Source organism: Homo sapiens, chromosome 12, assembly GCF_000001405.40.
Source record: "Homo sapiens chromosome 12, GRCh38.p14 Primary Assembly".
Taxonomy (NCBI): domain Eukaryota; kingdom Metazoa; phylum Chordata; class Mammalia; order Primates; family Hominidae; genus Homo; species Homo sapiens.
The window spans coordinates 122,771,179-122,791,347 of record NC_000012.12 but is presented as its reverse complement, the minus strand read 5'-3'; the positions used below and the strand labels follow the sequence as shown (position 1 = coordinate 122,791,347).

Genomic DNA, 20,169 nt, shown 5'->3' with positions numbered 1-20,169 from the left:
GGCCAACCTGGTAAAACCCCGTCTCTACTAAAAATACAAAAATTAGCTGGGTGTGGTGGTGGGCGACTGTAATCCCAGCTACTCAGAAGGCTGAGGCAGGAGAATTGCTTGAGAGGCAGGCGGGGGTTGCAGTGAGCTGAGATCGCGCCATTGCACTCCAGCCTGGGCGACAAGAGTGAAATTCTGTCTCAAAAATAAATAAATAAATAAAACTAAAAATAAAAATCTGCTCGTGTCATTTCTCAGTGAGAAGCCTTGCTACTGCACTGAGGATGAAATCCAAATCCATTACCACAAACTGCAGAGCCCAGCATGACCTGACCTGCCCATCTCCCCACCGCCGTTCCCTCCTTTCCTTCTGTTCCTTGAGTATGTCTGTGGTATAAGAAGAAATAGATGTGGTTTTTGTCCTCTGTTCCTGGAGAACAGAGCTCCTAAAACTTGTGGAATTTCCTAAGTGACAGAAGCATCTTTTGTCATTCATGAAGAGTCAGTTGATTACACCAGACTACATGCTAACGAGGTGACTCAGGGTGGAGCTCCTACGTGGCCTCAGGATGCAGACAGCCACCAGAAACACCAAGTGAAGACAGGGCTGGAACCTGCAGTCCCACTTGTGGACCTCCAGGAAGGGGAGGGAGGGCTGGAGATTGAGCTCTATAAAAATTCCTCTTCTTTTTTTTTATTTTTTTGAGGCAGGATCTTGCTCTGTTGCCCAGGCTGAAGTGTAGTGGCCAATCTTGGCTCACTGCAACCTCCACCTCCTGGGATCAAGAAATCCTTTCACTTTGCCTCTCGAGTAGCTGGGACTACAGGATCACACCACCATGCCTGGCTAATTTTTTGTAGAGACAGGGTTCTGCCATGTTATCCAGGCTGGTCTTCTTGAAGTCCTGGCCTCAAGCAATCTGCCTGCTTTGGCCTCCCAAAGTGCTAGGATTACAGATGTGAGCCATCATGCCCAGCCACTATTTTTCTTTTCTAAAAAAAAAGTTTTAAGCTGGGTGTGGTGGCTCATGCCTGTAATCCCAGCACTTTTGGGAGGCTGAGGCAGGTGGATCACAAGCTCAGGAGTTTGAGACCAGCCTGACCAACATGATGAAACCCTGTCTCTACTAAAAATACAAAAATTAGCCGGGCATGGTGGCACCCACCTGTAATCCCAGCTACTCAGGAGGCTGAGGCAGGAGAATTGCTTGAACCCAGGAGGTGGAGGTTGCAGTGAGCTGAGATCACGCCATTGCACTCCAGCCTGGGCAGCAGAGCAAGACACTATCTCAAAAAAAAAAAAGTTTTAATATTGAATTTATAAAATGTTTTTAGTATATAAATATTGACAGAACAGACTTCTTTCTACTTGAATATTTTACCTCGGTGTATATAAACATTCAATAAATACCAAATACCTAGAGTGTAGCCCTTGTGCCATGCTATTAACAGTACACTGAAAAAGAGAAGCAGAGTCTGTTCCTGCTGTCAAGGGGATGATAATACGATTATGGTTTTAGCTGAAGCTACAAATGGAGATAAGACCTATGGCTAACCATAGGTCAAGGCATCATAAGGACAACATTTTTGAATGCTGAATCTTTTAAGTTAAATCAGCAAAGATCGGCTGGGTGTGTTGGCTCACGCCTGTAGATCTCAGCACTTTGGGAGGCCAAGGCAGAGGGATTCACCTGAGGTCGGGAGTTCCAGACTAGTCTGGCCAACATGGCAAAACTCTGTCTCTACTAAACATCCAAAAATTAGCCAGGCATGGTGGTAGGTGCCTGTAATCCCAGCTACTCGGGAAGCTGAGACAGGAGAATAGCTTGAACCCAGGAGGTGGAGGCAGTGGTGAACCAAGATTGCACCACCGCACTCCAGCCTGGGTGACAGAGTGAGATTCTGTCGAAAATAAATAAATCGGCAAAAATAAAAATTCCTAATTTCAGAATCAGAAGTTTCTGCCCTCACCATGGGAAGAAATGCCCAGGCTAGCCTGATAGCAAGACGATGAAATGTGTGAGCCAAAACTGCCCAGATGGGAAGCTCAGTGAGGCCCAACCACAGTCAGCCAACTCCCCCATTTGCCTCTAGACATGTGGGTTTAATAAATGCTACGACTGTCTGCCACTGAGATACTGATGTTGTCTGCCACAAAGCATGTATTAGCGATAGCTAATGGTACAGCCACCTCAACTAAGGCAGGATTACTTTAAAATATGATACATTCTGCAGTTTTCCCCAACTCTGTTATATATCTTATAAGACACAAATTGCAGCATAATCCTATATAAATGAAATGGATATTTCACGTTAGGGTCTAAGGCCAGGAATTGATCTACTCTCAAGCATAAGATTAAGTGAACCCAGATGAAAAACTATATTCCCAAGATAATACATTTGTATCTTAAATGTAGGTCTCTTCCTTACCTTTTAGTTTGTTGACTTCAATCTTAAGTGCCTTCAATTTCTGCTTATAATCTTGCTTTTCTTTCACAATACAAGTCTCCGCCATCTTGGCATCACGTAGGGCATGCTCTAGCATTTTAAATTTACCCGAACAATCTGCAATGTGATTAACTGCCTCAATAATATCTTTGTCCTAAAAACCAAATTTGAAAATGGTTATCCTAGATTCTTAAATTCCAATTAACCAAGAAGAAAAGATAACACTAAGATCTTATCGTGTGCCAGGTTCCACTCTAAGCATTTTTCGCATATGAATTCATTTAATCTTTACAGTAACTCTATGAGGGTGGTACTATTGTTCTTGCCAAGTGACAGATGAGTCAACAGAAAGGCTGCGTTCCTTGCCCACGGTTACACAGCTAGTTAGTGGTGGAGCCACCATTTGAACCTAGCTGGCTGCCTCAGACACTATGTACTGAACCACTACCCCTTACTCTCTCTCAAAAAGTTAGAGCCAGACCATTCCATTACCTAAGAAACTATAATAGCAGCAAGAGGGTGGGTGGCCCCTGGATGGGAAAATCGTCCTCTGGATTATACAGGTAAGTCTAATGGCCCATCATTCCCTCCCATTTTCCAGCTTGTTAACATGACAGACTCCACAACAACATCATTCCAAATCTCCCAAATTAGAATCTCTTAATTGTTGAGGCAGTTTTAGTTACCAAAAAAGGTATCTGCTTCTTGAAAAGCAACTCAAACAACACCTAAAAGTATAAAAATAAGTAAAAGTTCTATCCCTCCCCCACTCACCTGGAATAACTGTTATTAAGAGGTTTTACCCCTACTGAAGTCTAAACATTTCTGCTACAGCATCATAAATGCACTCCTGAAAAATCACATTGTCTGCACATCTCACACTAGGACTTATAGAATAATAGGGTTGGGGCAGGCCATGCAAAAACCCATGGAACTTTGTGACCAGGTCAGTAGCAAAAAATAACCGTTCTAATAAGTACAGGAACACAGTTCCATTAACACCAGGACACCCACGACAGTCAATCCCTTTCAGCCTTAAACCTGGGATTCCTACTTGCTCCTTTGATAAGGATGTCCTGGAGGGCATCTGCTTCTAATGGAAACCATTTTCATCAAATAAAATCTCTAAGACTAGGAAAACACAGCCTTTTTTTTTTTTTTCCAGATGAAGTCTCGCTCTGTCACCAGGCTGGAGTGCAGTGGCGTGATCTCGGCTTACCACAACCTCTGCCTCCTGGGTTCAAGCAATTCTCCTGCCTCAGCCTCCTGAGTAGCTGGGACTACAGGCGTGTGCCATCATGCCCAGCTAATTTTTGTATTTTTAAAAATAGATGAGGTTTCACCATGTTAGCCAGGATGGTCTCAATCTCTTGGCCTTGTGATCTGCCTGGCTCAGCCTCCCAAAGTGTAGGGATTACAGGTGTGAGCCACCACGACCGACCTTCTTTTTTTTTTTTTTTTGAGACAGAGTCTTGCTCTGTCGCCCAAGCTGGAGTGCAGTGGTGCAATCTCAGCTCACTGCAACCTCCACCTCCCGGCTTCCGGGGATCCTCCCACCCCAGCCTCCAGAGTAGCTGGCATTACAGGCGTGTGCCACCATGCCCGGCTAATTTTTTTGTATTTTTAGTAAAGACAGGGGTTTCACCATGTTGGCTAGGCTAGTCTCAAACTCCTGACCTCAAGCGATCCACCCACCTCAGCTTCCCAAAGTGCTGGGATTATAGGCATGAGCCACGGCACCCGGCCTCCAGGAGCACAGCCTTCCTAACGCACCCACTGTTTTAATGGTGGGGAAATGCCTTGGCAGCACCTTCAGACATACCTATAGCTTTGCCAGAGTTTGCTATGATGGAAACCAGAGAGGTTGTTGAAGCCACTAAACTGTCTGCTACTTGACTAAAGACATGACTGTAGATTTTAATATTTTCTCTTTAATTTAATTTAATTTTTTTTTGAGACGGAGTCTCGCTGTCACCCAGGCTGGAGTGCAGTGGCGCGATTTCGGCTCACTGCAAGCTCCGCCTCCCAGGTTCATGCCATTTTCCTGCCTCAGCCTCCCGAGTAGCTGGGACTACAGGCGCCCGCCACCTCGCCCGGGGAATTTTTTGTATTTTTAGTAGAGACGGGGTTTCACCGTGTTAGCCAGGATGGTCTCGATCTCCTGACCTCGTGATCTGCCCGCCTCGGCCTCCCAAAGTGCTGGGATTACAGGCGTGAGCCACCGTGCCCGGCCTTTCTCTTTAATTTTAACAGCACTTGCCCCAATCACTTGAAAACAATGTGCTGAGAAAAATCACATATTTATTAGCGTGAGCATTTCATTATACCAACATTGTTCCCTTAAATACCAATTGTCAATGACATGTGTAACAGCAGGAGAGTGTGTATCGTTGTATATTGCATGTTAGTGACTACATCAACTGCTTGATTGCAGATGGTTTTTCTCTCCATTAAAAAAACCTCTGGCTGAGCGCGGTGGCTCACGCCTGTAATCCCAGCACTTTGGGAGGCCGAGGCGGGCGGATCACGAGGTCAGGAGATCGAGACCATCCTGGCTAACACGGTGAAACCCCGTCTCTACTAAAAATACAAAAAAATTAGCCGGGTGTGGTGGCGGGCGCCTGTAGTCCCAGCTACTCAAGAGGCTGAGGCAGGAGAATGGCGTGAACCTGGGAGGCGGAGCTTGCAGCGAGCTGAGACGGAGCCACTGCACTCCAGCCTGGGCCACAGAGCGAGACTCCGTCTCAAAACAAAACAAAACAAAAAAAACCTCTCAAGCAATCTAATGGCCCATAACTCTATGAGACCTAATAATGGATACCCGGGGAGAAAACAAGTTAATTCAGACCTGCCAGCCCACAGAATGGGCCTTGGAGACAGAAGACCAGAAGCAGAGTCCTGCCTCCTTTCTTCATGCCTTGGGAACATCATTTTAAACTTGTTTCCCTCATTTCTAAATGGGCGTTTTAAAAAACAAGAGCAACGTTGGTAGCTTCACATTTCTGGGATCCTAGCGACTTAGGTAAGATAATGAATATGGATATAACTACCAAGCACTCTGGCAAATGGAGGAATTCTTATTTTTGATTACCTTTAGCTTTATCATTGTCGTAAGAGCTTGTTCTCGAGCTTGTAGCTGTCCTACCTGGGCAGAAAGTTCCACTAACGTGTTGCTGAGAGTTTCGTTTCTAGCCTACAAGAAAACAACACAGATGATACTGCTTGAGTCCTTTTAAAGCTTTCACTACTCTTGCTAGCCACAATCTGCGCTTACTTCTCTATTTTGTTTTTTCCTTGTTTAACTCGTTAGTAACAAAAAAGAGTTGGTAATGGAGTGGGCTAATAAAGCCTACATTGTTTTAGTAATGAAGTGGCCTAAGAAAGCAGTCATCAAAAAGGAATACAAATATATATTTCTCTATTAATTCTACCATCCTCTCAGTACTTGTATTTGCCCTATTGAATTATGTTGGTGATGCTTGTAAACATGTCTATTTCCTAGTATCTTTTATGTGTAATTTTAGGTTGGGAAGAGGCAAGAAAATGAATGAATGAGAACTGTATTAGTAAGAGATTTCCTTTGTTGAAATAAAGTAGCATTAGTGAATTGTGTGAATTTAAAAAATATTCTTTGTCGAAAGAACTTCATACTGGGGTATTCCTACTCAACAATTATTTAAAAAAACACATAGTGCTATGTCGGATATAATTATTATGTATACAATCTATTTACTAGTTGAGAAAAATAACCATCAGGCTTTTTATTTTTTGAGACTGAGTCTCACTCTGTCGCCCAGGCTGGAGTGCAGTGGTGGGATGACCTCGGCTCACTGCAACCTCTGCCTCCTGGATTCAAGTGATTCTCCTGCTTCAGCCTCTGAAGTAGCTGGGATTACAGGCACACAACACTACGCCTGGCTAATTTTTGTATTTTTAGTAGAAACAGGGTTTCGCCACGTTGGCCGGGCTGGTCTCGAACTCTTGACTTCGGGTGATCTGCCCGCCTTGACCTCCCAAAGTGCTGGGATTACAGGCGAGCCACTGCACCTGGCCTTTTGTTTTTGTTTTTGTTTTAAAGAGATAGGACCTCACTCTGTCACCCAGGCTGGAGTGCAGTGGTGCACTCATAGCTCATAGTAACCTTGAACTCCTGGGCTCAAGCAGTCCTCCCACCTCAGTGTCCCGAGTAGCTGGGACTACAGGTTCTCACCATTATGCCCAGTTAATTTTTATTTTTGTATTTTTTGTAGAGAGGGTCTCGCTATGTTGCCCAGGCTGGTCTTGAACTCCTGGCCTTAAGCGATCCTCCCACCTTGGCCTCCCAAAGTGCTAAGATTACAGGCATCAGCCACTGCACCCAGCCTAATTATTATTATTATTATCATTATTTTTGAGACGGAGTCTCGCTCTGTTGCCAGGCTGGAGTGCAGTGGCGTGGTCTTGGCTCACTACAACCTCTGCCTCCTGGGTTCAAGTGATTCTCCTGCCTCAGCCTCCCAAGTAGCTGGGATTACAGGCACGTGCCACCATGCCCAGCTGATTTTTGTATTTTTAGTAGAGATGGGGTTTCACCATGTTGGTCAGGCTGGTCTCGAACTCCTGACCTCGTGATCCACCCGCCTTGGCCTCCCAAGGTACTGGGATTACAGGCATGAGCCACCGCGCCCGGCCTCCCAGCCTATTTAGACTTTTAAAAAGATATCTTTAGGAGGAAATTTAAATGTGTGTTACTAAGTGAAAAAAGGCAATCTGAAAAGGCTATATACTGTAGGATTCCAAGCATATGACATTGTGGAAAAGGCAAAACTATGGAGGCGGTAAAAAGATTCGTGTGACCAGGGGTGAGGGGGAGGAAGGGATGAAGGGTAGATCACAGAGGATTTTTAGGACAGTGAAACTATTCTGTACATACTATAATATAGTAGAGGATATGTGTCATTACACATCTGTCAAAACCCCATAGAATGTAAACACAAAGAGTGACCCCTAATGTTAACTGTAATCTTTAGGTGACAATGAGGTATCCATGAAGATTCACCAATTATAAGAAATGCACCACCCCGGTGTGGAGGTCGATCGTGGGGAAGGCTGGGTGTGTGGATACAGAGTGTGTATGAGAACTCTCTCTACTTTCTGCTCAATTTTGCTGTGAACCTAAAAATGCACTAAATAAATAAAGTGTATTAGTTAAAAAAGATCTCTTCCACTTTTTCATGCAACATAATCAGTAGATATTCTAGAATAGTTTTTACTTATTTTATAGCTAGAAACTATCTAGAATAGTATTCTTTTAAAAACCATAAAATAAAAATCTATACTATTATGAATAAAGACTCATTATATTACCAAGACGTATATGAAATATCACTAAGAAATAAAAGAATGGGGCCAGGCGCGGTGGCTCACACCTGTAATCCCAGCACTTTGGGAGGCCGAGGCGGGCAGATCACGAGGTCAGGAGATCGAAACCATCCTGGCTAACACGGTGAAACCCCGTCTCTACTAAAATACAAAAAATTAGCCGGGCGTGGTGGCGGGCGCCTGTAGTCCCAGCTACTAGGGAGGCTGAGGCAGGAGAATAGTGTGAACCCGGGAGGCGGAGCTTGCAGTGAGCCGAGGTGGCACCACTGCACTCCAGCCTGGGCGACAGAACGAGACTCCGTCTCAGGAAAAAAAAAAAAAAAGAATGAAGGATATAACAAATAAACAAGCTGGCTTTCTGCACCTCTTATAAGCATGAACTCAAAAAATATCTGATGACTGACCAGTTAGAAGAGAAAACCAAAAAAATCCATCTTTTTTTTTGACAAGGAGTCTCGCTCTTTCCCCCAGGCTGGAGTGCAGTGGTGCGATCTCGGCTCACTGCAACCTCTGCCTCTCAGGTTCAATTGACTCTCCTACCTCAGCCTCCTGAGTAGTTGGGACTACAGGTGCCCACCACCACACCTGGTTAATTTTTGAATTTTTAGTAGAGACGGGGTTTCACCATGTTGGCCAGGCTGATCTCAGACTTTGGACCTCAAGTCACCGCCCACCTCGGCCTCCCAAAGTGCTGGGATTATAGGTGTGAGCCACCATGCCGGGCTCAAAAAACCAGTCTTACAGTTTTTATTCCCAATATGCCACTAACATTATGAGATAAGACACAATAATTGGCTGGGCACAGTGGCTCACACCTGTAATCCCAGCACTTTGGGAGGCTGAGGCGGGCGGATCACCTGAGGTCGGGCGTTGGAGACCAGCCTGGCCAACATGGAGAAACTCCGTCTCTACTAAAAATACAAAATTAGCTGGGCATAGTGGTGCATGCCTGTAATCCCAGCTACTCGGGGGAGTGAGGCAAGAGAATTGTTTGAACCCAGGAGGCAGAGGTTATGGTGAGCCGAGATCGTGCCATTGCACTTCAGCCTGGGCAACAAGAGTGAAACTCCATCTCAAAAAAAACACACAATAATTTAGAAAACATCATTGAGGCTACCAAAACTTGATTATACCCTCTCATCTTTGAGGAAAGCTTTCTAAAATAACTCATTGTTGATTAAATGGTAGATGCTACTAAACCAAATGGCATAACGGTTAAAAAGCGTTGTACTGAAGCTCAATCTCTAAGACAGGATAATGCCGTGCAGCTAACCAAAACTGTAGGAGAAACACAAAACTACAAGGGGTGGATGAGTGTAGATACCTTCGTACACACACGTATGCATTTTTGCATTGGTTGCTTGCTGTTGTTGTTTTTTGTTGAGATGAGGTCTCACTATGTTGCCCAGGCTGGACTTGGACTCCTGGGCCCAAGCAATGTTTCTGCCTCAGCCTCCCCAGAGGCTGGGACTACAGGCGTACACCACTGTGCTTGGCTTACATACGCTTTTTTTTTTTTTTTTTTGTCACCCAGGCTGGGGTGTAGTGGCACAATCACAGCTTACTGCAGCCTTGACCTCCTGGGCTCAAGTGATCCTCCTGCCTCAGCCTCCCAAGTAGCTGGGACCACAGCAGTGCACCCCCACACCCAGCTCATTTTTGTATTTCTTCTTTTTATAGAGACAGGCATTTGCCATGTTGCCAAGCCTGGTCGTGAATTCCTGGGCTCAAGCAATCCTCCCACCTCAGCCTCCCAAACAAAGAGCTGGGATAACAGGCATGAGCCACCAAGCCACTGTGCCCAGCCTCACATGCATTTTTAATGAAACATTTAAATCTAATTTTTCTTTTTTCTTTTTTTTTTTGAGACAGAGTTTCGCTCTTGTTGCCCGGACTGGAGTGCAATGGCGCGATCTTGGCTCACCGCAACCTCCACCTCCCGGGTTCAAACGATTCTCCTGCCTCAGCCTCCTGAGTAGCTGGGACTACAGGCGTGTGCCACCACGCCCGGCTAATTTTGTATTTTTAGTAGAGATGGGGTTTCTCCACGCTGGCCAGGCTGGTCTCGAACTCCTGACCTCAGGTGATCCACCTGCCTCGGCCTCCCAAAGTGTTGGCATTACAGGAGTGAGCCACCGTGCCCGGTCAAATCTAATTTTTCAATAACTGAAACACAAAGGGAATTTGGACTAGTGAAGCTTATCAAAAACTAATCCCAACCTCAAGGTCTTCAGAGAGAAGAGAAGAATGCGTTGCCTTTTGAGCCATTTCCTGAAGCTGTAGTTGGGTCTTTTGGAGAGCTGTTTGGCATTCCATTTGATTGGATTCAAGAGCTTTTACCTTCTTCGTGAGTGACCTGATTATTTCAGTTCTTTTATGTAGTTCACCTGAGGGAAGTTCATCAATAATTTGTAGTCACACCTTCAGCTTAAAAGGCATTATTTTCAAAATGGGTGGTTAAAAGGTAAAAATGTGGTAGAGAATTTTTAAAAAGACAATCTTCTTTTAAAACCTTTTATTATGAAATGCACAATATCACACCTAATCAAGAAACAGAACTGTGAGCAATTGGAAGCCTCTGGAGGTCACTTCCCGAACATAATCACTCCAGTTTCCGCGTTCCCAACCATGACCCTGATCTTAGAGTAATCACTTCCTTGCTTTCCATTACAGTTTTACCAGTGACCGCATGCCTCAAAATTATAGCTTAATTTGAACCATATAAAAATGGAATCATATTCTGACAATTCTTCTGTTTGCTTTTTTTGCTTAAGATAATGATTCTGAGATTCACTCAGTTGTGTGTAACTTGTGTTTGTGCACTAACATTGCTAGGTAATATTCCACTGAATGATTACGCCAAAGCTTATTTCTATTTTTTATTTTATTTTATTTTATTTTATTTTATTTTATTTTATTTTATTTTATTTTATTTTTGAGACAGAGTCTTGCTCTGTTGTCCAGGCTGGAGTGCAGTGGTGCGATCTCGGCTCACTGCAAGCTCTGCCTCCTGGGTTCACGCCATTCTCCTGCCTCAGCCTCCCGAGTAGCTGGGACTACAGGTGCCTGCCACCACGCCTGGCTAATTTTTTTGTATTTTTAGTAGAGACGGGGTTTCACCGTGTTAGCCAGGATGGTCTTGATCTCCTGACCTCGTGATCAGCCCACCTCGGCCTCCCAAAGTGCTGGGATTACAGGCGTGAGCCACCATGCCCGGCCTTCTTTTTTTTTTTTTTCGTTGAGACGGAGCCTCCCTCTGTTGCCCAGGCTGGAGGGCAACGGCACGATCTCGGCTTACTGCAACCTCCACCTCCTGGGTTCAAGCGATTCTTCTGCCTCAGCCTCCCAAGTAGCTGGGATTACGGGCGAGCACCACCATGTCTGGCTATTTTTTTGTATTTTTAGTAGAGATGGGGTTTCACCATATTGGCCAGGATGGTCTTGATCTCCTGACCCCATGATTCATCCTCCTCAGCCTCCCAAAGTGCTGGGATTACAGGCGTGAGCCACCGTACCTGGCCTACCAAAGCTTATTTCTAATATTGATGGTCATTTAGGTTATTTCCACTTTGCAGCTATGATAAACAATGCTGCTCTGAATATTCTTTTACATGCATCTTTTTTTTTTTTTTTTTTTTTTTTTGAGACAGAGTCTCGCTCTGTAGCCCAGGCTGGAGTGCAGTGGTGTGATCTCAGCTCACTGCAACCTCCACCTCCCAAGTTCAAGCAATTCTTCTGCCTTAGCCTCCCAAGTAGCTGGGATTACAGGCATGAGCCAGCACACCCTGCTAATTTTTGTATTTTTAGTAGAGACAGGGTTTCACCATGTTGGCCAGGTTGGCCTCGAACCCTTGACCTCAGGTGATTCGCCTGACTCGGCCTCCCAAAGTGCTAGGATTACAGATGTGAGCCACAGCGCCAGGCCTTTTTACATGCATCTGGGTGCATATTTTCAAGAGTTTCTTGAGAGCCTTGCTTCTCAAAATGTGGTCCCTGGACCAGCAGCGGCAGTGGCATCGCCTAGGATGCCTGTTAGAAATGCAGACCCTTGGGCCCCAGACCTATTGTATCAGAATCTAAATTTTAACAAGACCCTTAGGTGATTCATGTGTCTATTAAAGGGTGAGAATATTCCTAGAAGTGGCTTTGCTGGGCTGTAGGATATGCACACCTTCAGCTTCACTAGATGCTGCCAAATGATTTTGCACACTAGCAGTGACAACTGACTCCCACCAGCAGCGTCTCAGCTTTCCCTTGGTGCCATACTTTACCAACACCTGATAATTTCTGCCAGGCTGGTAAAGGTAAAATAGTATCTCAATTTGGTTTTCATTTGCATTTCCCTAACTACTAATGAGAACAGGAAACTTTTAATATATTTATTGGCCATTCAATTTTCCTCTTTCCATGAGGTGCCTATTCAAATCTTGCTCATTTTAAAATCAAATACTGATGGCTACATATAATGTGGGTTATATATGTTATATGTGTTATCTTTGTTCTTTAACATGTCTATATAAGAGCTATAAGATGTTATACTGCATTTAATGAGCAACCATTTTAAACACTGTGTGTATATACGTGTGTGGGTGTGGTCAGAGTAAAATCAGATGGTCATCAAAGAAACGAAAAAATCATATATTTGGGTTTTTTGTTTGTTTCTTTCTTTGTTTTGACGGAGTCTCGCTCTGTCGCCCAGGATGGAGTGCAGTGGCGCAATCTTGGCTCACTGCAACCTCCACCTCCCAGGTTCAAGCAATTCTCCTGCCTCAGCCTCCTGAGTAGCTGGGACTACAGGCGCCCACCACCATGCCCCGCTAATTTTTGTATTTCTAGTAGAGACGAGGTACACCATGTTGGCTGGGCTGGTATTGAACTCCTGACCTCAAGTGATCCGCCTGCCTCAGCCTCCCAAAGTGCTGGGATTACAGGCATGAGCCACCGCACCCCACCAAAAATGACAGATTTGGATTGTCACATTTACAGAATCCTTTGAGTAATGTTAAGTAAAAAAAGGTTATCTTTCTATTATACAGATCTAGTGTTTTCTCCTCTAATGCATTCTACTAACAATCTAGAGTCAATGGAACATTCAGATTTAGGGCAGCACTAAAGGAATGACAGAATTAAAATATGGTGTCAAATAAACTTTTTGCAACCATTTTTGAGACAGCTATAATTTTTTTTTTTTTTTTTTGGGACAGGGTCTTGTTCTGTCCCACAGGCTGGAGTGCAGTGGCGCAATCTTGGCTCACTGCAACCTCCGCCTCCTGGGTTCAAGCGATTCTCGTGCCTCTGCCTCCCGAGTAGCTGAGATTACAGGTGTGCATCACCATGCCCAGTTAACTTTTTGTATTTTTAGTAGAAATGGGGTTTCACCATGTTGGCCAGGCTGGTCTCTAGTTCCAGAGCTCAAGTGATCCGCCAAAGTGCTGGAATTACAGGTGTGAGCCACTGTGCCTGGCCGGACAGCTATAACTTTAAAAGATGACCATTTTAGGAACTTAAGATCAAGTTCAATACCAAAAGCCTAAAATCTTTCAGTTTAGTTTAAGAGAAATGGCTAGTCATATGGCATCTTCATTCATACTCTTGCTCAAAACTTCAACTTCACCACTGGCGCTCACCCCATGTTGACTGGAGCTCCATCCAGCCCCCTTTCTATACTGAAATACTTTGCTTGTCCTACTTTATTTGTGTGTGTCTGTCCCATTGTGGCTGTTCATAAAGTCCTCCTGTCTCCAATGAGCCTAAACTTGAGGACAACAGGGATTGCAGTCTTTACTTCCTCTCTATCTTCCCTATGAGCCCATCAATGTGTTAGCACACAGAAGTGCATAACTGTTGTCCCTGAATGTATTTCTGACCTTCTAATTTGCTGCAACGTTCTTCCAGTGTCAACACTTTCTGCCGATCCTCTTCCCATGAAAGAAGCTGTTGCTGGTGCACTGCAACCATGTCATTGAGCTCTTTATCTCGATCTTTTAATTCTCCAATGAGCAACTGCAGCTCCTTCCGTTGTTTCTCGATAGTGGAAATCTCAACTTCTGACCCGATGTTCTAAACATAGAAAGCGGTTTCACATCAAAATAGAATGAAATCAATAACAAATCAGCCAAAGTCCATTTTCCAAATAAGTATATCTTCTTTTGCGGCCAATTCTAAGTAGTTCAATTAAGTTTTAATAACATGGCAGCAAAAGATTATGTATACTTAAAACATGTTCAAGTTAAAATCTACCATGCACTCTGCCTCTCTACAATTTTCTGTCATGCCATACGTACCATGCCTAAAAAGTGGGACTGTTTCTAAAACCCACTGGGTAAACAAATAAACCTATTTCTGCACTTTTTCTCCCCCTTTGCCAACAACCCTTTTCTCTGCCAGTCAATAACATTATCCCCTACCTTGCCCCAGCAATTTGAGTAACCAAGTACAGGTAAACATGAAATAGTGGCCAGGCGTGGTGGCTCACGCCTGTAATTCCAGCATTTTGGGAGGTCAAGGTGGGCCGATCACCTGAGGTCAGGAGTTCGAGACCAGCCTGGCCAACGTGGCAAAACCCCATCTCTACTAAAAATACAAAAATTAGCTCAGTGTGGTGGCATGCGCCTGTAATCCCAGCTACTCAAGAGGCTGAGGCAGGAGAACTGCTTGAACCCTGGAGGCAGAGGTTGCAGTGAGCCGAGATCGTGCCATTGCACTCTAGCCTGGGCAACAAGAGCAAAACTCTATCAAAAAAAACCAAACAAAATCACGAAATAGTTACTGTTTAAATGTAAATGATCCTTACTAAACAATGGGAATTTTAGTCTATAAAAAGAAAATTAAGTCTTCCAGTGTTCAATATGCATGACAACTACAACATCTAAGGCATCTATACATACTCAATCTATTAAGGGCAATTTAATATTGTAACTGATCCAAATACAACATACATCATTAAAAAATAAATTATGTAAGGAAATCTTTCACATGTACCCAAAGACAATAGTACGATAAACTCCCATATACTCTGTGCCTGGGTTCTACCATTATTGAGATTTCACTGCGGCTGCTTCAATGTCCTTTTCTTTTCATTATTGGTTAAAAAATACCATTTCACCCTTACATACTTCAGAATGCATCTCTAAAAATGAACATTTCCTATATAACCATGATGCCATTTTTATATCTAACAATATTATCTATTAATACAATAATTTCTTTGAAGTATACAGCATTTTAAAATCTAACAAGTTGGCCTGACCAAATTGTGATCCCAGAATTAGCCACTTAGTGGCTACATAACCTTGGGCAAGTTACTTAACTTCTCTAAGCATTAGTTTCCTCACCTGTAAAACGATAGCAACTGCATTTTAACATCTTGGAGTGGTGAAGATTAAACAAGACAAACTCTGTAAAGTACTGAGCACAAAGCCTGGCCCGTTGTAATCACTCAACAAACATCAGCTCTCATTAACACTGTAAACCACATTTCAAATCATGGTGCTGTCCCTGCCTATGAAATAAACAACTAAAAGTGTTACTTTAATAGAGTTCCACCTTAAAGACAGTAATTAAAGGTTCAACAGAGGCCCTTTGTACCTCCTTACTGCTTTTTGAAAAGTAAGATTTGTAAATAAACAAGAATAATGAGGTTGGGCTCAGTGGCTCACGCCTGTAATCCCAGCACTTTGGAAGGCCGAGGTGGGCAGATCACCTGAGGTCGGGAGTTCGAGACCAGCCTGGCCAACATGGCGAAACCCTGTCTCTACTAAAAACACAAAAATTAGCTCGGCATGGTGGTGGGAGCCTGTAGTCCCAGCTATTTGGGAGGCTGAGGCGGGAGGATTGCTTGAACTCGGGAAGCAGAGGCTGCAGTAAGCCGACATTGCGTCACTGTACTCCAGCCCTGGGGACAGAGCCAGACCCTGTCTCAAAAATAAATAAATAAGAATGATGAATAAATTACAGTTGCTAGTCTTAACAAGGAAAATGGAATTTGGAGTCAAGGGATTTCAAGTCCCAAGGCTTGAATTCCAGTGTTGGGTTAGCCCTTCATTCATGCACTCAACAAATAATTTATTGAGCGCCAGTGGCTGGGCCACAGACCTCCAGGCAAGGAGCACATATTCCACTCCAGGAAAACAGGCAGTAAGCCGAGTACACAAAGGCAGGTCGTCTTACACTGATGGACGCGAACCTTGGGCAAGCCCACTTCCAGACTTTTTGGTACAGTGGAGTTGTGAGAGCTCCTTCCTCTACTCGCCAGGTTGTGTAAATTAAGGACACCCTGAGAGGTAAATGGGAAAGCAGCTCCCCAGACGCCAATCGTCCTCCTTAAACAGTAAGCACCGGGTACGCGCTACTCTGTGGCCCGGGCTGAATAACAAGGTGTTATTGGGTTAAGGAAACGGTCGTGACGCCGTTTTCCTCTAGTGTATTGTTTCACTTTTTTTTTTTTTTTTTTTTTTTGAGACGGAGTCTCGCTCTGTCGCCCAGGCTGGAGTGCAGTGGCGCGATCTCGGCTCACTGCAAGCTCTGCCTCCCGGGTTCACGCCATTCTCCTGCCTCAGCCTCCCGAGTAGCTGGGATTACAGGCGCCCGCCGCCACGCCCGGCTAATTTTTTTTTTTTTATTTTTAGTAGAGACGGGGTTTCACTGTGTTAGCCAGGATGGTCTCGATCTCCTGACCTCGTGATCCGCCCGCCTCCGCCTCCCAAAGCGCTGGGATTACAGGCGTGAGCCACCGCGCCCGGCCTGTTTCACATTTTAAGTAGACACCGTTCTTGAGAAGCAATAGATTTCGACCAATGTGCACCGTTCCCGCGGCGCCCCGCCGCGCCCGGAACCGCTGCTTACCTGGCGCCCGGCAAGGAAGGCTGCCGGAGGGTTCATAGGTGTTTCCTCCGCCCCCGGAGAAGCCCGGTGTGGGCGGCGTCACCTCAGAAACGCCATCGGCGCGCCTGCCCCGAGCGGCGGGGGCGAGCCCGGAGCCCCGGGGCCCCGCGCCCTCGGCCGACCCCCGCCCCGTACTCCAACCGCCTGCCTGGTGCCCACGCGGCGTGCGCCCGCCGGGGCTCGGGGCTCCCCGCCAGGGTTTCCGGGCCGCAGCCCCGCTGCGCTGGTGGGCACTGTTCTTCTGCCTCGGAAACTGGGGGCTCCCAAGTGGCTCAGGCTGCGTATGGACGCTTTTTGCCCACGCCCGAGGCTCCGGCGCTGGAAGGCCTGAAAGAACCGGCTGTTCACCACTACCCAGAGAATGAAGAAGTCAATAAAGGCTGCTGCGCCGCCCCCAGCACTCTGGTTTATGACATTTGAGTTGCTCACTTCCCTATCTTCCATCTTCCCCCTAATAACCGTGAGCTCGGCCGTGCTCGCTCCTGTGTAGCTGGCTCCCAGAACAGGACCTGACACTCGAATGCGTGGAGGCAGAGCCCAGCCCTCGGGGATAACAGTTGCGGGCTACCCTAGCACCTTTGATACTTTAAACCAAGAATCACAGATGAAGAGGGGGAAATTTACTCTTGGGAGCTCCTGAAAAGCAATGAGGAGAACCACGGTACTTTGTCATGACAAAATCTACGATATTCTGGGTTGAATCTAAGCTTTTTCACCTGTTCTTCCATAGTCACCTCTTCATCCCCCTTTCACTCTTCCTAAGATGTGGGAACGGGACTAGGAAAAAATAAGGCTTATCACACTTCAGCCCCGGCTGCCCATCCCTGAATGCTTAACCCATCAGACAGCAACACAATTACTAAATACGGTCGGTCTTACAGGGTTTCAACTTTACTTTTTGGTTGAATATGAAATGCCAAAACATGCCCTTGTGTTCAAAAAATACAATCTGAAAATGGAAAAACAAAATTAAGATTTCTTATTTTGAAGCTTTACTGATAGGCTCATGTTTGGGAGACCAAAGCAATGTCTTAGAATTTAAAATCAAGAAAGCTGGGCGCAGTGGCCTGTAACCCCAGCACTTTGGGAGGCCAATGTAGGAGGATCTGTTGCGTTCAGGAGTTTGAGACCAGCCTGAGCAACATGGTGACACCCACCTCTAAAAAACTTTTTTTTTTTTTTTTTTTGAGATGGAGTCTGGCTCTTGTTGCCTGAGCTGGAGTGCAATGGCACAATCTCGGCTCACTGCAAACTCTGCCTCTGGCCTCAAGCAAATCTCCTGCCTCAGCCTCCCGAGTAGCTGGGATTACAGGTGCCCGCCACCACGCCACCTTTGTTGTATTTTTAGTAGAGATGGGTTTCACTACCTTGGCCAGGCTGGTCGCGAACTCCTGACCTCAGTTGACCCACCCACTTCAGCCTCCCAAAGTGCTGGGATTACAGGTGTGAGCTACCGCACCTGGCCAAAAAATAAATTTTTTTTTAAACTGGGCGTGGTGGTGCACTCCTGTGGTCTCAGCTACTCACGAGGCTGACTTGAGCTGGGAGATGGCGGCTCCAATGAGCTGTGATCATGCCACTGCATTCCAGTCCGATCGAGAGTGAGACCTTGACTCAAAAAAACAAAAATCAGGCCAGACGTGGTGGCTCACGCCTGTAATCCCAGCACTTTGAGAGGCCGAGGAGGATGGATCATGAGATTAGAAGTTTGAGACCAGCCTAGCCAATACAACGAAACCCTGTCTCTACTAAAAATCAAACAAACAAACAAACAAACAAAAACTAGCCACGTGTGGTGGTGCGCACCCATAGTCCCAGCTACTCGGAAGGCTGAGGCAGGAGAATCGCTTGAATGCAGGAGATGGAGGTTACAGTGAGCCAAGACTGCGCCACCTCACTCCAGCCTAGGCAATAGAGGGACACTCCGTATCAAAAAAAAAAAAAAACAAAAAAACACCAACCACCACTACCACCAAAACCCAAAACCAAATAGCCAATAAATACAAAAAGGTGGTCTACTTCCCTGATCATTACAGAAATGCAAAAAAATAAAAATAAATAAATAAATCAACAAAGCAAATTCTGGGTGGGTATTTGCTAAAAACAGTCTAGCAGTAGATGACTGCAGTAAGTTGGTGGTGATGAGATGTAAAGGAATGTGGGTTGAATGTCAATTTTTGAAGTGAGGAGTGTTTTAATTCACGTTTCTTAGGTTTCACCATTGTTAAGACTTGATATTTTTCTAGAAAGTCCTCGAGTGCCATTGTTCACCAGGCAACCATGTGTGACACTCAAGTAAAAATACATGTACAGGCTGGGTGTGGTGGTTCACACCTGTAATCCCAGCACTTTGGGAGGCTGAGGTGGGAGGATAGCTTGAGCTCAGGAGTTTGAGACCAGCCTGGACAACATAGGGAGACCCCCCATCTCTATAAAAAATTTAAAAATTAGCTGGGTATGGTGGCATGTGCCTGTGGTCTCAGCCACTCCAGAAGCTGAAGTGGGAGGATCACTTGAGGCTGGGAGATCAAGGCTGCAGTGAGCTGTGATCATGCCACTGCGTTCCAGCCTGGGCAACAGAGCGAGACTCTGTCTCAAAAATGAATAAAATTGTGTGTATCTAGAATAGTAAGAAATTAGGCTCATTTTGATTATGGTTCATAAATAGTAACTGAGTATAGTAAGAGGATTATGATGGCAAGGTACAAATTAAAAATCTCAAGTTTTTACCTTCGCTCCCCACAGGTTTTCATTAAAACAACAACAACAAAAAAAATTAAAGAGAATACATAACTTTAAAAATATGACAGAGGTGAAAGCTACAAGAATTACACTGCATCTGATTTTATACTCACACAGTCTAATCCAAACTGAAGTTCTGAATGAACTTTTCCCAGTCTCCCTATTTGATTTCCTAGGTAAAGGAATTTAGTAAATAATGAGAACAGGGAACTAAAAGGTAAAATTCATCTTTAAAACAGTAATTTATCAACTTTTAAACTAAGAGTGAGAAAGCTACCACAGACTGGCTTTTATGTAGTAATAAAAAGTTTAAAATCACTTACTGTCAGCATCTGTTTTTAAAAAATGAAATACTTACCAAACTATATGCAAAAAGTATTTGCATTAAAAGTTGCCAGCTTAATCATGGAAAATCTCTTATAAGGCTGCTTAAAGGTTCATGTTTTTTACTAAAAATGGTAGACTGTGAGAATGTGTAAAGTCAATTTTTGAACTACTAGTACTTTTTTTTTTTTTTTTTGGAGACCAGGTTTTACTGTTGCCCAGGCTGGAGTGCAGTGTCGTGATCTCAGTTCACTGCAGCCTCAACCTCCCAGGCTCAAGTGATCCTCCCAACTCAGCCTCCCAAGTAGCTGGGACTGCAGGCGCACGCCACCATGCCTGGCTAATTTTTGTATTTTTTATAGGGACAGGGTCTTGCCATGTTGCCCAGGCTAGTCTTGAACCTGGACTCAAGTGATCCTCCCA

At 44.9% G+C, this 20,169-nt stretch overlaps 1 protein-coding gene across 7 annotated transcripts in view, besides 6 other annotated features; it reads right to left on the bottom strand.

Annotated features, from left to right (window-relative positions):
* The window catches only part of CCDC62 (coiled-coil domain containing 62), a 52,957-nt gene extending 36,181 nt beyond the window's left edge, over positions 1 to 16,776 (bottom strand). For all 7 annotated transcript variants that reach the window (XR_944784.2, NR_027918.3, NM_201435.5 and 4 more), the window contains exons 1-5: positions 16,642 to 16,776; positions 13,665 to 13,857; positions 10,018 to 10,184; positions 5,528 to 5,629; positions 2,419 to 2,590 (exon numbers count right to left, since the gene is read on the bottom strand). Coding sequence is in view for 5 of the 7 variants with exons in the window: in NM_201435.5 (NP_958843.2) it covers positions 2,419 to 2,590; positions 5,528 to 5,629; positions 10,018 to 10,184; positions 13,665 to 13,857; positions 16,642 to 16,677 (670 nt within the window). In the remaining 2 variants the exon portion in view is untranslated. The remainder of the gene's footprint in view (positions 1 to 2,418; positions 2,591 to 5,527; positions 5,630 to 10,017; positions 10,185 to 13,664; positions 13,858 to 16,641) is intronic.
* Positions 892 to 1,445: an enhancer, noted in NCBI's record as "H3K27ac hESC enhancer chr12:123274450-123275003 (GRCh37/hg19 assembly coordinates)". NCBI's record gives its function as "activates a minimal SCP1, AML or CMV promoter by ChIP-STARR-seq in primed H9 embryonic stem cells {active_cell/tissue: H9 hESC(primed)}" and the evidence as "EXISTENCE:reporter gene assay evidence [ECO:0000049][PMID:30033119]".
* Positions 15,912 to 16,206: a silencer, noted in NCBI's record as "tiled region #13845; K562 Repressive non-DNase unmatched - State 18:Pol2". NCBI's record gives its function as "represses a minimal TATA promoter and a strong SV40 promoter by Sharpr-MPRA in K562 cells {active_cell/tissue: K562}" and the evidence as "EXISTENCE:reporter gene assay evidence [ECO:0000049][PMID:27701403]".
* Positions 15,912 to 16,629: a biological region, named in NCBI's record as "Sharpr-MPRA regulatory region 13845".
* Positions 15,936 to 16,629: an enhancer, noted in NCBI's record as "H3K27ac-H3K4me1 hESC enhancer chr12:123259266-123259959 (GRCh37/hg19 assembly coordinates)". NCBI's record gives its function as "activates a minimal SCP1, AML or CMV promoter by ChIP-STARR-seq in primed H9 embryonic stem cells {active_cell/tissue: H9 hESC(primed)}" and the evidence as "EXISTENCE:reporter gene assay evidence [ECO:0000049][PMID:30033119]".
* Positions 16,409 to 16,548: an enhancer, noted in NCBI's record as "active region_7237". NCBI's record gives its function as "activates an Ori minimal core promoter by ATAC-STARR-seq in GM12878 lymphoblastoid cells {active_cell/tissue: GM12878}" and the evidence as "EXISTENCE:reporter gene assay evidence [ECO:0000049][PMID:35858748]".
* Positions 16,729 to 16,938: a silencer, noted in NCBI's record as "silent region_5021". NCBI's record gives its function as "represses an Ori minimal core promoter by ATAC-STARR-seq in GM12878 lymphoblastoid cells {active_cell/tissue: GM12878}" and the evidence as "EXISTENCE:reporter gene assay evidence [ECO:0000049][PMID:35858748]".